Genomic DNA, 16,880 nt, shown 5'->3' with positions numbered 1-16,880 from the left:
ACTAAATTCACAAATGTAAGAAACTAGAATGGTTTATCAAATTTCTTCCTGCTGTTATGAAAAACAATGTTGTGATAGGGAATGAGATTAAATCCTTCAAAAATCAAATTTAAGTTAAAAAACACAGAGAGAGAGAGAGTGGCAGGATAACTGGTCTGCCAGAGGGAACAGAAGTATCCGGTCTAACTCTTGGAAAATGGTTTGTAGAAAGAAAGTCTGTTTCTTCATGTCACTGAAAAACTACTAAAATCAGAGAAGCTTCAAGCATTTGAAAGCGTTAGCCCATAGCCCCTTCCCAAATTCCAGACACAAGGCATCCAAAGACTCAGGTCAGGATGGCATCGTCAGAATCATCTTCATCTCAGTCAACCCTCATAGAGACCCCAGTGTTCATGTTAGCTCTTAGCTTCTGCATAGTGCCCCCATAAATCGGAAGAGACTGAGGGTTGTAGCACTTCAGCTAACAGAAGGAAATTGCACCATTTAGGAAGCTAAGTGATATTTGAAGGGCATATGTAGCTATGATCAAAAATACCAGGTTTGGTGCAAAAGTAATTGCCAGTTTTGTCGTTACTTTTAATGGCAAAAATCACAATTACTTTTGCACCAACTTAATACCTCCCTGCAGTGCATAAATATTAATTTCACTAAGTTCTAACTATTCCAATAACTTATTCAGTAGGGAAATAAAACATTAACCCTTTATCTCCAGATACTTGTGCATTTGGATTCCATTAAACTTTCTCTTAACTGCATTAGCCCATATTGACTTCTTTTTTCTGTAAAAAATTACTTCTATGGGTGATGTAATTTGACCCACAACTGCTTTTTTGTGATTGTTTATGCAAGTAAACTCTGACTCAAAAGAATAAGTTCTTTAAGCATTGGAGCCAAACTGATAATCCAGAGCAAGTACTTAACATATATCAATTCATTGATCACAAGAAAAGGGAAATTTTAAGGGAGGGCTTGGAAGGGAAAGAGATAATTACATGCAAAGCATGGATCATGCTGGAGAAGAGAAAGACTTCATGAAGCATCCAAACACTGGAATTCGGGCAGCCAAAAGTTTACAAAGGAATCCTGAAAACCCGGGAGAAGGGAGGGCAGAGGTACTAGTAGATAGAGGAAGGTATGAGAAATATTGACTGGTGTGTTGAGATATTTGTATGCACTGAACTAAACATTGAATTAAAGGCTATCCTCTTCAATAGAACATGCAGCTTCAGGAGGTACACACATGAATAGCAAAGAAAGAGAGGCACATTCCCCTGTCCAGAAAGGTCATCCTCAGAGACCAATGTGGTGACGGTTGTCAAAGCCAACTTACTCTTTTATCCCAAAAAGGAGTATGAGACTATGTCAAGTACGAACACAATTCATCCAATAGAAATCAAGCCCTGGTTGTATCTTTAGGCCACAATGTGTTGCCTTTCCTTCACTCAGTTTACTCCATCTTCATCTTTCTTTTTGTCTCTAGCATTCAAATTTAAGGAAGAAAACTCATATTTACAAATGTTATAAGACCTCATATGATTGATGTGTGTGTGTGTGTGTGTGTGTGTGTGTGTGTGTCTGTGTCATTCTCCATTTCACAATTTTCTTAAGTACAGAGCATTAATATCGCTTTTGTTAAATGAGCAAAGATGCTAAGGAAATGACCAATCAGACCATATGGAAAAACAATTTTTGTCCTTAAAAAGCTTAATCATCACATGGACAAACTTTGAAGATGGATGCATTGTAAAACAAAATTCAGATGAAGCAGACTTTAATGTTTCTCTTTACTGATTTTGTTCTCTCTTAGCCACCTCTTGGCTTTTGAGGGGAATGAACACTGAATCCAAGATGAGACTTTTAAAATCTGAGTCGCCCTAAATTCTGTTTCGCAGCTTTATACTTGATACTAAGAAACTGAGTTACAATGCTGAGAGGTGGCAGAGCAAATGAGAAGCAAGGAATCAAAGGTAAATAAGAGGAAGGCCTTTTTTACTTTTATTCAATTTCATCAAAGCTGTAAATGTTCTAGTTTTTTAAACATATGTGCCTAACTGATTACACTGGAATTAAGGAGAGGAGGAGAACAAGGTCTGTCATAGTCTAAAACTCCAATCAGGGAAATAGGAATGTCCTCTCTATCCTCCAAAATGGCACCTATTTGTTTAATTTTCTTCTATTCATCTAACCAAGATAAAATGTATTGCACATCTGGCATCAAGTAATCTGAGTTATACACAATAAACAAGGCACCACCTTTGAACCCAAAGGAGCTTATAATCAGTTAAAGGAGAAACTCTAAAAATTATTATCATATAATTCAAGGTGGTAAATATAGGAAGATCAAGGCAGTACTGAATGTGATTGGAGAATTTATAGTCCAGAACTCCAGACTCAAATTTCAACATTTTTTTCACTATATTGGCTGTATTCACTGACTTCTTTGGTAACTGGCTTGCAGTTTTTCTCTTCATCCTAAATTCTGAGTGACTTTATTATCTTCATAGCCAGTCTCACTTCATGGCTTCAGAAACTTCCTCTTCCACTTCACTTTGGCTACCTCCTCTGTCTCAGTCCATTTTGGCTGCCATAACAAAATACTATAATCTGCATGGATTATAAATAAGAAAAAAATATTTCTCACAGTTTTGGAGGTTGGGAGTCTGGGATCAAATCACCAGCAGTTTTGATGTCTGGTGAGAGCCTGCTTTTGTTCACAATGTTCTCACTGTGTTCCTCACATGTCAGAAGAAGCAAAGGATTCTCCAGGGTATCTTTCTTTTTCTTTTTTTTTTCTTTTTTTTTTCTTTTTTTATTTTTCCTAGAGTCAGAGTTTCACTTTGTCACCCAGGCTGTACTGCAGTGGCACGGTCATAGGTCACTGAAGACTCAACCTCCCAGGCTCAGGTGACCCTCCCACCTTAGCCTCCTGAGTAGCTGGGACTACAGGCGCAATCCACTGCATCTGGCTAAGTGTGCGTGTATATGTATGTGTGTGTGTGTGTGTCTGTGTGTGTGTGTGTGTGTGTGTGTGTGTGTGTGTGTGTGGAGATGGGGTCTCACTATGTTGCCCAGGCTTGTCTCAAATTCCTGGTTTCAAGCAATTCTCCCACTTTGGCCTCCCAAAGTGCTGGAATGACAGGTGTCAGCCACTGCACCTAGCTTGGCATCTCTTATAAGGGCATTAATCCCACTCATGAGGGCTCCACCCTCATGACCTAATTACCTACCAAAAATTCCTCCACCTAATACCATCATATTGGGGGTTAAGATTTCAAAATATAAATTTTGGGGGAACACAAACATTCAGTCTATAGCACCCTCCCAAATTTTTTTAAGAGATGGGGTCTGGCTCTGTCACTCAGACTGGAGTACAGTGATGTGATCTGCAGCTGGACCTCCTGGGTTCAAGTGGTCCTCCCTCCTCAGCCCCAGAGTAGCTGGGATTACAGTCATGAGCCACTGCACCTAGCCACCCTCCCATACTTGACATCACTCAGAACTGTTGAACTGCACCATCTCTGAAGCTACTTATTAATATAAGCATAAGGCAGCTTTGGCCACAAACCACCACTGTTCCACCTATGCCCTAAGTTATTCTCAACACACATGTCATCAGTCCTATAGAAACCTCTGGAGCACTTCCCACTTTACTTTCTCTTTTCCACACCTTCTAGCCTTCATTTTCTTCCTTTCTTATCTACAATTCGGTGGTTAATAATATCAACCACTCTCTTGCTCATCTTCAGGAACTTTCTTGCTCCACTATCTTCTAGCTGCACCTGCCTAACAAAATCCCAAACCTATATGAATTCAATATCCTACATCTCAATGAATGTCTCACAAGTTGCTAAGTATTACCAGAGGAATTTGCCCAGCCAGGCTGACTGGAATCACCATAAATTTATGGTTAATAACTTCACCTGGCCCCTGAAATTTGCCCCAAAACATTATCATCCCTATCATCAAATTTTCCCATTCTCCACTTCAATTTCACAGATTCTCAAGTATTCCCAACATCCCACTACCATCAATCTTTCCTCTATCATCTAGCAGATGACCTCTTGGAGAAGTAGAAACTATCAGACAGTAACTCCTTCAGCTTCCCAAAAAAACATTTATACCTGCCTTTCATCCCTACCTACATCAACATTTCTTTCACTGGCATTCCAGATTCCATCCTCTGGTTTGGTCAAGGACTTCGTTGATTGAGTGTGTCTTCTTGTATGGTCAACTTCTTTTCTATTAGATTCAACCATGTTCAAATATCTCCAGATTTTCTCTCATGTACTTTCTCCCCATTCTAACTAAACACTATGGACACTGCAACCTAAGAGTCCATCAGCAGATGAGTGGATAAATAAAATGTGGCATATATACAATGGGGGTGGGCACAGTAGCTCATGCCAGTAATCCCAGCACTTTGTGAGGCTGAGGCAGGCGGATCACCTGAGGTCAGGAGTCTGAAACCAGCCTGGACAACATGGCGAAACGCCGTCTCCACTAAAAATATAAAAAATCAGCTGAGCGGGGTGGGAGACTGAGGCAGGAGAATCACTTGAACCTGGGAGGCTGAGGTTGCAACGAGCCCAGATTGCACCACTGCACTCTGGCCTGGGTGACAGAATGAGACTCCGTCTCAAAAAAAAAAAAAAAAAAAAAAAATATATGGTATATATACAATGATATCCTATTCAGCCTTTAAAAAGAAGGACATTCTATCATTTGCAATAACATGAATGAACCTGGAGGACATTACGTTAAGTGAAATAAGCCAGCACAGAAAGACAAATACTGCATGATCTTACTTGTATGTGGAATCTAAAAATGCTGACTCAGAGAAGTAGGGAGTAGAATGGTGGTTACCAGAGGCTGGAAGGAAAGGAGGAGGAGGAAGGTGAAAGTGAAATATTGGCTTTTTAAAAATTTAACATCATATCATAAGCTTTTCCAAATTATTCTCATTTCTATATCATTAGACATTTAGTTTACTTCCAACTTTTGCTATTATAAATAAGTGTCCTTATACATAAATCTTTCAGTATATTCTTATTTTCTTAGAATAAATGTCTAAATCAAAGGCTTTGAACAAATTTGGGACTCTAAATGTATTTGAACAAATTTTTCCCTCTAAAGTTTGCACCATTTTCTACTTTAACCTATATAATAAAAGTTTTCACTAAATTTTTGTGAAAACTTGGTTTTACAATTTTTTTAATGAATAAGATAGTTGAAATGATATGCAATTGTTTTAATTTGCTTTTTTGTATTATTGGTGAGGTTAAACATTTTTCATATGTATGAGAAATTATTGGTTATTATTTGAAAATAGATATTCATGTCCTTTGCCCATTTTTGCCATTAGCATGTTAAATTTTTTATTATTGATTCCTAAAGGCTCTTTATATCTTATGGCCATTAAACTTTGTTAATTGTCTCAAATATTGTGAATGTTTTTTCCAACTGTTCATTTTCTTTCCGTTTTAAGCCATTAAAGCATAGTAGATGCAATATTGCTTTGAGGCATCAGGTTAAGTTGAACATGACCACCAACCAGCTCTGCCTCTTTTTAACTATATGATCTTAACCATATTAAGATCATACAGTTATTACTTAACCTCACAAAGCTTCAGTTTCTCATCTGTAAAATGTGAAAAATAATGCTTACCATGTAGGATTAGTGCAGAGGCTAAGATAGATAATGGATATCTAGTCAGTTTAGGTTATTTGAGTTGGTTTAAGCAACATAAACTAACTCTGACTAATGGTAAGCAAAGCAATTAATGTAGTGGAAAGATACTGAGATATCTCACCAAATTATGGACGATGTGACCACTAGAACTTAGGAAGGGCAAAAAACATGGGCAGCTCCAAAGGTCAGCATAGAAGCTCTTCCATAAACCACCCACCCATGGCCCAGCCACCCATGACCCAGCACTGGTTGCTTTTTGTCCCTGATGTCAATATTCAAATTCCTGTTTGAAGAATCTGACTGGCCTAATCTAGATCACATGCCCACACCCCCTAAAATCAGGGAGTAGATTTTAATTACAGAAGGGGTATGTGAGGCACACAACCCTCCCAAATAACAAAAAAAAAAGGAAGAAAGAAGGGGCTGGAAGGAGCAAGGGAGTAGGGAATGAGGAAGGAAGGAAGATAGGGAGGGAGAGAAGAAGGAAGAAAGGAAGAGAGGCAGGGAGGGAGGGAAGGAAGGAAGGGAGGGAGGAATAAAAGGAATAAGGGAGGGAGGAAGAAAGGGAGGAAGGGAAGAAGGAAGAAAGGAAACAAGAAAGGAACAGAGGGAGGGAAGGAGGAAGAAAGAGAAATGAAAAACGGAGGGAAGGAAGGAAGAAGGAGGGAGGAAGGAAGGAAGGAAGGAAAGGGAAGGGAAGAAGGGAGAAAGGAGGAAAGAGAGGGAAGGAAGAAGGAAGGGAAGGAGGGAGAAAGGAAAGGGATGGAAGAAGGGAGGAAGGAAGGAAGGGAGGGAGGGAAGGAGGGAGGGAGGAAGGAAGAAAAGGAAGAAGGGAAGGAGGAAGAAAGGGAGGAAAGGAAGAAGGAAGAAAGGAAACAAGGAAGGGAGGGAGGAAGAAAGAGAAATGAAAAAAGGGAGGGAAGGAGGGAGGGAGGGAAGAAGAAGGAGGGAGGGAGGAAGAAAGGAAAGCAAGAAGGAAGGAAGGAAGGCAAGAAGGAAGGAAGGCAAGAAGGAAGGAAGGAAGGCAAGAAGGAAGGAAGGCAAGAAGGAAGGAAGGCAAGAAGGAAGGAAGGAGAAGGGGAAGGGAAGGGGGAAAGGAGGAAAGGGATAGAGGGAAGAAGGAAGGGAGGGAGGGAGGAAGGAAGGAAAAGGAAGAAGGGAAGGAGGAAGAAAGGGAGGAAGAGAAAAAGGAAGAAAGGAAAGAAGGAAGAAAGAGGGAGGGAGAGGAAGAAAGAAATGAAAAAAGGGAGGGAGGATGGAGGAAGAAAAGGAGGAAGGAAGAAAGGGAGAAAGGAAAGAAGGAAGGGAGAGAAGGAGGAAAAGAGAAAGGAAGAAAGGGAGGAAGGGAGGGAATGGGGAAGTGGGGAAAGCAGGAATCGGGGAGGGAAGAGAGAGAGGGAGGGAGAAAGGGAGGCAGGAAGCTACTCATGTAAAGGAATTGCTGAGTTCTGTATCTGTCCCTTTAGTAAGCTGGCAAAAATAGTAGCCATTCATAATACTACGCAACATTTTTCTCTGGATTTCATAACACATTTAGAAAGAAGAGATTCCATTGAAGTCAGAATCTTAAATAAATTTCTCATAGTAAGTTCTCTTTTGCTTTCATTGAACTCATTCCCAGGAGAGCCCTCCCTTGAATCAGGCTGATGATTTTCTCAGCATTCTAAGGGTTTAGCCTTGGTAGTAACTGTAAAGAAGCAGCAGGCCTCTTCAGCTGACCCTGTGCATTAGCCTACACTACGCATGCTCAAGTGTATTCTAGAACAGAGCAGAACGCTGAATCGGTCAAGTGTTAGAAACCAACCTTTCAAAACATCTGACATTTCAAAGCTGAAATAGAAATTCTGGAAGAGCAAATTTTCAAATTTGTAGACTTCTAATCATTTATATAATATGAAAATAATGGAAAATCCTCCAAAGGTATTGATCCTTGGAAAGGACTTATGCCTTCCAAGCCACAGCTTTTAAAACCCTAATTCCTGTCTTTAAAATAATTTAATGGTATCTATCTCTCATGATTACTGTGAAGAATAAGATAAAACAAAAATTTTAAAAATAAGTAAAAAATTAAATTAAATTAAATTAAGGTTAAAACTGTAAACACTTTATAATGAAATTCCACATTCCCCTATCTCTTTTCCCTAGGCCAGTTGACAGCACTATAAAAACTTCCTTTGAATGATTTTATACATATAATTATACATATATAAACATATACTTAAATAAATTTATAATATATAAGTATAGATGTCTTTATTAATACACTTATCTTTATAGAAACATTCTTTTGTGTTTTTTTTTTGAGACGGAGTCTTGCTCTGCCACCCAGGCTGGAGTGCAGTGATGTGATCTCAGCTCACTGCAAGCTCTGCCTCACGGTTCAAGCGATTCTGCTGCCTCAGCCTCCCGAGTAGCTGGGACTACAGGTGCCCGCCACCACGCATGGCTAATTTTTTGTATTTTTAGTAGAGACGGGGTTTCACCATTTTAGCCAGGATGGTCTCGATCTCCTGACCTTGTGATCTGCCCGCCTCAGCCTCCCAATATAGAAACATTCTTATATGTTGATATATATTTTATACATATATATAAAATCAGTCAAAGAAAGTGTATTTTATATAGAGAGATGTGTATATATGTAGAAAGTTTTTATATATGTATATAATAAGTCTCAAGACTCTGCTTCACCTTGGTGTTTTTTTTAAAAAAGTCTGTGTTAGTTACAAATGAGAAACAACAACCCTTGTCCCCTGTAGTTGCAGGATAATTAATCCTAACATGGTACTTCACTTTCCCTGACAATCTCAGCATATCTTCAAGAAAAGCAAGTTCACTTTACACTGAGATGACCAAATATCCCAATTTGTCTGGAACTGAGGGGGTTCCTGAGAAGTAGGACTTTTCATGCTAAAACTGGAAAAGTTCTGGATAAATTAGGACAGTTGTTTACGCTGTGTTTGTCATTTAAATCCCTTGAAAAAGAAGTGAATGAAAGCTCATTGCCACAAAGTCTTAATTCAAGTATGTGTATGTTTAAGATAAAAATGAAGCTTAGCTTCCACGGGGCAATTAATTCTCAGGTTAAAGAGTCCCAAAAACTGTGTGTTCCATTGCTGCCTGGAAATAGGCTGATAAATCAATTCACAAATTCAATTCAATTTAACATATATGTATTGAGCATCTTCTTTGAGTAAAATACGTTGAGGATCACAGGGATCTTTAAGTGCAATGAAATATTCTCGCATTTCCTAATAGACTAGGGAACATGATCTGAGTTATAGTATTCTGTGTTATATAAGCATACAAATATATTAAATAACTATACCATATTATATTGTGATAGAATATAAAACAAACTGTGCTAAATACTATCATATTTTCTGAATCAAAAATCAGGATGCAAATCAGGTGAATTTTACTTTTCCTCTTGACATACCTATTTATTAATAATTAATTTTAGATAGTATTTGTAACAAATTGCCACTATAAAAAAATTTTAACTAAAATTGGGGCTGTGGTAGAAAATCCAGAATGAATAAGGAGTATAATAATAAAGACCATAATAAAAATACAGTCATGGACCATGTAATGATGTTTGTCAATAACGAACCATGTATACATAAGTGGTCCCATAAGATTATAATACTGTATTTTTACTATACCTTTTCTGTGTTTAGGTATGTTTGATGCGCAAATACCATTGTGTTCCCATTGCCTACAGTATTCAGTACAGTAACCTGCTGTACAGGTTTGCAGCCTGGGGGCAAAAGGCTGTATCATGTAGCCTAGTTGTATAGTGACTATATTATCCAGGTCTGCATAAGTACACTCTATGATGTTTGCACAATGATAAAATAATCTAAAGATGTATTTCTCAGGACACACCCCCGTCATTAAGCAACACATGGAGGTTTTTAAAAGGAGGTCTATAGGATGCACTTAAACAGCCTGCCGGGACCGCAATAGAATGCTATTCCTCACAGCAATCTTCCAAGTTCCATTTTACAGATGATGAAAGTAAAGCTCAGAAAGTTTCAGTAAGGGGCCAGAAGCAGTGGCTCACATCTATAATCCCAGCACTTTGGGAGGCGGAAAAGGGTCGATAACCTGAGAAGTTTGAGACCAGCCTGGACAACATGATGAAACCCCATCTTTACTAAAAGTACAAAAATTAGCTGGGAGTGGTGGTGCATGCCTGTAATCCCAGCTACTTGGGAGGCTGAAGCAGGAGAATCGCTTGAACCTGGCAGATGGAGGTTGCAGTGAGCCAAGATTGTGCCACTGTACTCCAATCTGGGTGACAAGAATTAAAAACTCCAATCTGGGTGACAAGAATTAAAAACTCCATCTCAAAAAAAAAAAAAAAGAAGGAAAGAAAGAAAGTTTCAGTAAGGGGCAGTGTCACAATTCAAGCTTATCACTGACTCCAAAGCTCACTCTCTTTTTAGACATTACCTTCCAGGAAGATAAGGTGTTCCACAAAGAAATCATTACAGAACTAGACAACAGAGTCATAAATTGCTCAAGAATGTGATTTATTCAATCAGCACTCTGAAAGAACATGAAGAAACCAATGAGTTATTTATGTATCTAACCTCAGCACCTGGCTTAGTTCACCAGAGATGTTCAATATGGGCATATGGAATAAATTATATCTGCAGTTTTAGGGGACAACTGCTTCAAACACTTCTATAAAAATGGTTTGAGAAAAACTATCAAATTTCAAGTTGGTAAAATTTCATTCCCTGCCTTTCTCACCCAGCATTTCAGGTTGTTATTTTTGTTGTTAAAAAAAAAAAAGAAAAGGAGGAAAGAGAAAGAGGAAAAAAGAGGAAGAAAAGAACAAAGAAGAAGAGGAGGAGGAAGAAAAAGAGGAAGAGGGGAAGTAGAAGAAAGAAGAAAAGACCTATCAATCTCTACCAATCTATTCCAGATAGTTTTCATGACTGATGTCATTTGAGTTTTGATTTTTCTTTCTGATGGATCCCTGTATTTGAAGTCAACTTTTCAGAGAACCTGACATTTCAAAGACAAATGGAAACTCCAGAATGCCAAGTTTTAAAATTTCGTAGATATCTACTTTTTTGTATGATATAACCATGTTGAAAAATTCTCCATGATACTGATCCTTAAGTACACCCAGTTTGGATAGTCATAGCTCTAAAACACATTTCGTCAGATTCTCTGTATAGGAGCCAAAGTCTGTGTTACACACATTAAATTTTTTTCTAAGTATTCGCAGATTTTTTTTTCAACTAAGGTGAGAAAATAGAGTCAATGAGATTCTTACAGGGAACATCAAGAGGTCTTCAGAATGCACATAGCAACTCTCCTCCCTTTCCAAGGCACACACCACACCACCCAGCTAGATTCTGAATGAGGCAGTGTTCCAATGGGATTGGCATCAACCCCGCCCATCCCTGGAGGAGTCTAGTTATTAGATTATTTTTTAAAGATTCATCTTTCCCAAGTCTTTGGAGGCAGTACAGCTGGGAGTCATTAGCTGTAATCAGGGGGCAGCCAACAAAAGGAGGAAGCAGTGGGTGAATGCTGCCTCTTTCTGCAGCAGCCATCTGGGCAGAGGGAATGTGGTTTTAAACCCTAGCGGGTGGGGGAAGTTATTGGGATCCTGTTATATTTGGACTTGACTTCAGACCCTAAACAGAGATCTTTTTTTTTTTCTTCTGAAGTTTGCTTTCTGGAAATAGAAGGAAAAGATAGCAGGAGTAAGCCAGTGGACATCTCACAGAACATTATGGTCAAAGCAGACAGACAGTCTGAATGCAACAGCCCAACAGACACTAGCTGATTGGGGGCCTTGTCTATTCCTAGCTTAGAGTTTTGGAAAGAAAAGAAGAGCACATTACATTGTGAGATATCTCTTTTTCTTTCCCCTTCCTCCGCCTTTGCCAAAGATAAGGACATCTCTTCCATTTCAGAAAAGAAGACTCTGTCTTTTAAGTTGTCCATATAGAAACCACTTTGATTTGTTTCAAAATAGGGGAATTACCACACGTTTCATTTCACTCCTTCTGTCTTCTCTGAGGATATTGGAAATATGATGTAATAAATAAAAAGCAAGAACACACTAAATAAAAAGCCAGAAATCTGGGTTTACTGACTATGTACCCCTAACAAATTAGGTCAGCTCTGGGCCTCAGCTTCCTTGTCTGTAAAATAAGGATAATAATAGATATCTCAGAAGGTCACTAGAAGAATTCTGAATGATGCGTGTCAAACATCAAGCATACTCCCTGGAACATAGCAGCCATCCAACAATCGGTAGCTATTCTTATTTGTTACTATTTATATCAAACTTTTAATAAAAGTAGCAAAATACATCAAATCATTTCATAGGATTTTTTGGAGGGAAACTTGCCAAGTTAGTTTTTTTGTTTGTTTTTGTTTATTGATTTTGAGACAGGGTCTTTCTCTGTCACCCTGGCTGGAGTGTAATGGTGCAATCTTGGCCCACTGCAGCCTCAACCACCTAGGCTCAAGCAATCCTCCCAGCTTAGCTTCCAGGGTAGCTGGGACCATGGCACGCACCACCATGCCTGGCTAATTTATATTTTGTAGAGACAAGGTCTACCTATGTTGCCCAGGCTGGTCCCAAATTCCTAGACTCAAGCAATCCTCCTGCCTCAGCCCCCCAAGTCAATTAAACATAGTTCATACTTCCAAAGCAGTAGTATCTAAGTTGGATATCTATGGAACAAACACCATCTATATATGTGTGTGTGTTGAGACTCACAGGGTTTAAAATATTTTTAAAATTATTTTGTCGAGGTACAGTGGCTCACGTCTGTAATCCCAATACTTTGGGAGGCTGAGGTGGGAGGATCACTTGAGGCCAGGAGTTTGATACCACCCTGGGCAACATAGCAAGACCTCATCTTTGCAAAAGGTAGAAAAATTAGTCATATGTGGTGATGCATGCCTGTGGTCCTAGCTGCTCAGGAGGTTGAGGCAGGAGGGTCGCTTGAGCCCAGGAGATCCAGGCTACAATGAGCTATAATCATGCCACTGCACTCCAGCCTGCGCAACACAGCACAACCCTGACTTTAAAATAAAAAATTAAACAAAAATTAAAATTATTTTGATATCTTAAAATGCAAATTTCATATTAAGATATATATAGTTCCAGCTTTCCTGAAGCACTAAAAATTTGGCAACCTTGGGCCAGCATTCCTTAGTGTCAACAGTGAGGTAGTGCTGAACAGGGACTGTCCCTTTTGGACAGAACCTGTGCTCTTCAGTTGGCCGTAGTCCCCTGCCCTCTTGTTGCAGGAGCCTGACCCTGCTTCACTATCTTATCCTGCCTGGCTCTTTCAGGCATTTGAATCTGTAATACCTTTACTTGCCCCTTGCCTCCAAATACAGATGTGTGAGAATAAGAGAAACATAAAGGTGCTGCATGAAGGGTGCTGTGTTTATAGTTATAGGGCAGGATGTGAAAAGAAAATCATAAGGCATTTCGATTAGAGGATTAGTCAACAACAGGCACAAAACCCAGAGCCTCCTCCAGGATCTTGGGCTTGTCCTTTAACTTCAACAAGTCTCAAGTTTCTGACATGTAAAAGGCAGCAGATATTTACTCTGCCATTTCACAAGTTACGTATGTGGATCAAACAATGCAATGTATGTGAGTAAATCAGAAAATGCTATGTGTAAGATAGATTATCAAACAGAATAAACACAGTATCTAAAGGAAGAAAATCACTTAATAGCCCATCTCTAATATTATATCTTCCTTGGAAATCACACAACTAAAAGGGATCTTTAAATGTAATCTAGCCCTCAGTTTTACAAATGAACAATCTGAAACCCAAAAAGCAGTTCTCAAGAAGCTTGCAATATGGTGAAGACAAAATATATGAAAAGGATGCTGACCAAGGGATGCCTAAAACCACGTGAGCCTCTATTAAATCTAAGGGTGGAAATAGCAAGTCACCTGGGGCAGCTTTTTGTTTTCTGTTTGTTCATTTTTAGAAAAAGTAATTTAAACTGCTTCTGCCTTGAATTTTAAAATGTTGGGGTGATGGGCACCCCCTTCTCTGGAAAGAGCATGTAACAAGACCTATGTACTGGAGGTAGACACAAAAGATGTCTCTCCCCATGTTGCTCAGCTCTGTGGATGGGGTGAGAAAATCTGCAGAAAGAAATCTGAAGTCTTCTGAGGATTTTTTGGGAACCTCAACCTGAGCTCCCTGAGATTCACAATGGAACATCTGTGAAGAACAACTAGAGTAGCCATTCCCAAGGTCCATTGACAAGAAAGGGGAGTCCCAGAGAGAAGATTTCCTGGAAAGAAAGGGCATGAAGCCCCTTTCTGGTGAGTATGGAGTGAGGCTGGAGACCCTTCTGTGTCATTTCAGACCTTCCTAAAAATAGATACCAAGGCAGGATTAGAGATGGAAGAGATTTGTCAGAAGAAATGTTCCTATAGAATAAAAAGTGGATGGGGGAAAAAAGAAGATGTGAGGCCAGGTGCGGTGGCTCACTCCTGTAATCCCAGAACTTTGGGAGGCTGAGGCGGGCAGATCACGAGGCCAGGAGTTCGAGACCAGCCTGACCAACATGGTGAAACCCCGTCTGTATTAGAAATACAAAAACTAGCCAGGTGTGGTGGTGCATGCCTGTAATGTCAGCTACTCAGGAAGCTGAGGCAGAAGAATCGCTTGAACCTGGGAGGTGGAGGTTACAGTGAGCCAAGATTGTGCCACTGCAATCAGGCTGGGAGACAGAGCAAGACTCCGTCTCAAAAAAAAAAAAATGATGATGATGATGATGATGTGGAGAGCCTTCAGACCATGCTGCAGGACAGACACTGTGAAAGGAGAAGGGGAAGCAAGGTGGGTCAGGTGGGAAGAGCCCCAGAGCACAGAGAAGCTCTGAGGAAGTCTCTACCAGGCTCATGGGAAATGTCTGAGTCGAAGTTGCCTGCTAGAAGCACCTGTATTAGGCAGAAATGTCCTGATTCTGGTTACTGCCTCCTACTCCCACCTCCACCCCATCTAAAGGTGAGATAGTAGAGGCCCTCAGTCAGCTCTGCTGTCTGCAGCATGTTCTCCTGGAAGGAGATCTGAGCTGTCACCTCCATGGCTGCCAGAGACACTGGCAGAATGCCATGCTGCCATACTGGGGGACCCACGGCTTCCACCTATATAGGCATCAGGGCCTGCAAGAGGATTATTTATTTTCTGTTGTTTGTTTGAGACAGTCTTGCTCCGTCACCCAGGCTGGAGTGCAATGGCATGATCTGGGCTCACTACACCTTCCACCTCCTGGTTCAAGTGATTCTCCTGCCTCAGCCTCCCAAGAATCTGGGATTACAGGCACATGCCACCATGCCCAGCTAAGTTTTGCATTTTTAGTAGAGATGGTGTTTCACCATGTTGGTCAGGCTGGTCTCAAACTCCTCAAGTGATCCTATTGCCTCAGCATTTCAAAGTGCTGGGATTACAGGCATCAGCCACTGCACCCAGACAAGAGGATTATTTCTGAATGCAGAAGTATCTACCAAGCCGGGAGAAACCAATGTTCAACAGTGGACTCAATGGAATTCTAGTCCTCTCTCTCTCTGCCTTTCTTTTAAAAACAAGACTTGCCTTTGGGGGCTGAGTAAAACCTTAGTTCTTAAACAATTGGAGAAGGTGGGTATTGGGGAATTCTGAGAGGGAGGGAACAGACTTCCTGTTAATCATGGTAGGCATGGTAGAGGAGTGGGTAGAGAGTAAGTTAAGAAATTAATTAGAAAAATATTGTGTGGTGTTACTATATTTGTACCCTGGCTGGTGAAGTGGATTATACTGATTAAACATAGATATGGGAGGCATTAAATAATAAAGGAAGGTTTTGATAGGGAGTCAGTTCAAAAACAGAGATCTCTAACAGCAGATACCATAATTTACACTTCTGTAGCCCTTTCCAGATTACAAAGACTTTTACATATACATGACATTTATTAATCCTCAAGACAACCAAGAAGAGTAGACAGAGTAGTTTGTCTCCATTTTAGCAATAAAAAAAAGAGAATCAATGAAGATTAGTAAACTTACCTGAACTCTTTATACGTGTAAGAAGCAGAGTTTTTACTGGAATTCTCCCCCACCCCACCTGCCCAGCCAAGGCCTCCTTTCTATTGAACTCCCTAGGTGACTCTCTAGATTTCCAAATCAATGTGCTTGACAATAAACTCCTAGGATATTAAAGAAGGCAAAAATCTCATCAGACTTGGGCTGGTCAGGGGAGGCATCCAGAGCAGGAGAATGGGATCTGCCCCTTGAGAGGTGTTAGGATTCAGAGAGACAGAGAGGAGTGAAAAGAGTGGGTTCCAGATGGGTAAAATGTAGGACATCAGGAGAGGACAAATAAAACAACTTGACTGGCACAGGGGAATAGCAGAAAACTGGGAACAGTACACTGGGACCAGGTAGGGAATTTTATCCAGAAAAAAAAAAAAACAGAAAGCATTTTCCTTTTGAAAGAGGGGTGATATTCTCAAGCCATTGGGAAGAGCACTGTGACCAAAGACCTGTATCTGATGGTTCAAAGGGAGAAAGATGGACCTAAAGGTTATGGATGCAGTTTAGGCAAGCTAACAAAAAGACTAGGAAATGAATACATTAAGACCTAATACAGAAGAGTCGGGTGCCAGGGAAGTAGAAAATGAGCAAATTCCCTATCACAGAAATCTCACAAATGGTTTCCAGAACGGGGGGCTCCAGAGACAGGACCAAAATACAGATAAGAAACCACTTTAAACAGCTTTTATCTTAAAGATTTTATATTTGGACCAATCTTGAAGCAAATAAGGTTAAGAAATGTTTATGTTAGAAGATTTGCATGTAGAATACTGTTTTCCTCTTCTTGGTTTCAGGGCAGCCAGACAGAAGTAATTAAGTATAATTAAATATAAAAAGTATCAATTAGCACTGATTCTCCCATCTACAGAGAGAAATGACCAGTTGGGAATGAGTGATCTAATCTTCTCTCAGGCCTCAGAAGGAATCGGAAACCCAGACATCAACCTAATCATGTGGGAAGACATAATAAAGTACTCTATATACAAGCGGGCTCTTTTTTTCCCAAAGTAGCCCTTGTTCAGCATATCATTATAATCACTAAAACAGTAATATTTAATTTTGTGTTAACTTCTACTCACACAAATTTGACAGCCTTGGGTGAA

At 39.9% G+C, this 16,880-nt stretch overlaps 1 long non-coding RNA gene and 1 other non-coding gene across 2 annotated transcripts in view; both read right to left on the bottom strand.

Moving 5' to 3' along the window:
* MIR548A1HG (MIR548A1 host gene) overlaps window positions 1–16,880 on the bottom strand; it is a 200,152-nt gene that overhangs the window by 150,488 nt on the left and 32,784 nt on the right. The gene's annotated exons all lie outside the window — the stretch shown is intronic.
* On the bottom strand, window positions 531–627 carry MIR548A1 (microRNA 548a-1). The gene has a single exon (NR_030312.1). It is a non-coding gene; the product is annotated as a microRNA 548a-1 (primary transcript).

This window comes from Homo sapiens, chromosome 6, assembly GCF_000001405.40.
Source record: "Homo sapiens chromosome 6, GRCh38.p14 Primary Assembly".
Classification (NCBI taxonomy): Eukaryota; Metazoa; Chordata; class Mammalia; order Primates; family Hominidae; genus Homo; species Homo sapiens.
This window is presented reverse-complemented; position numbering and strand designations above follow the sequence as displayed.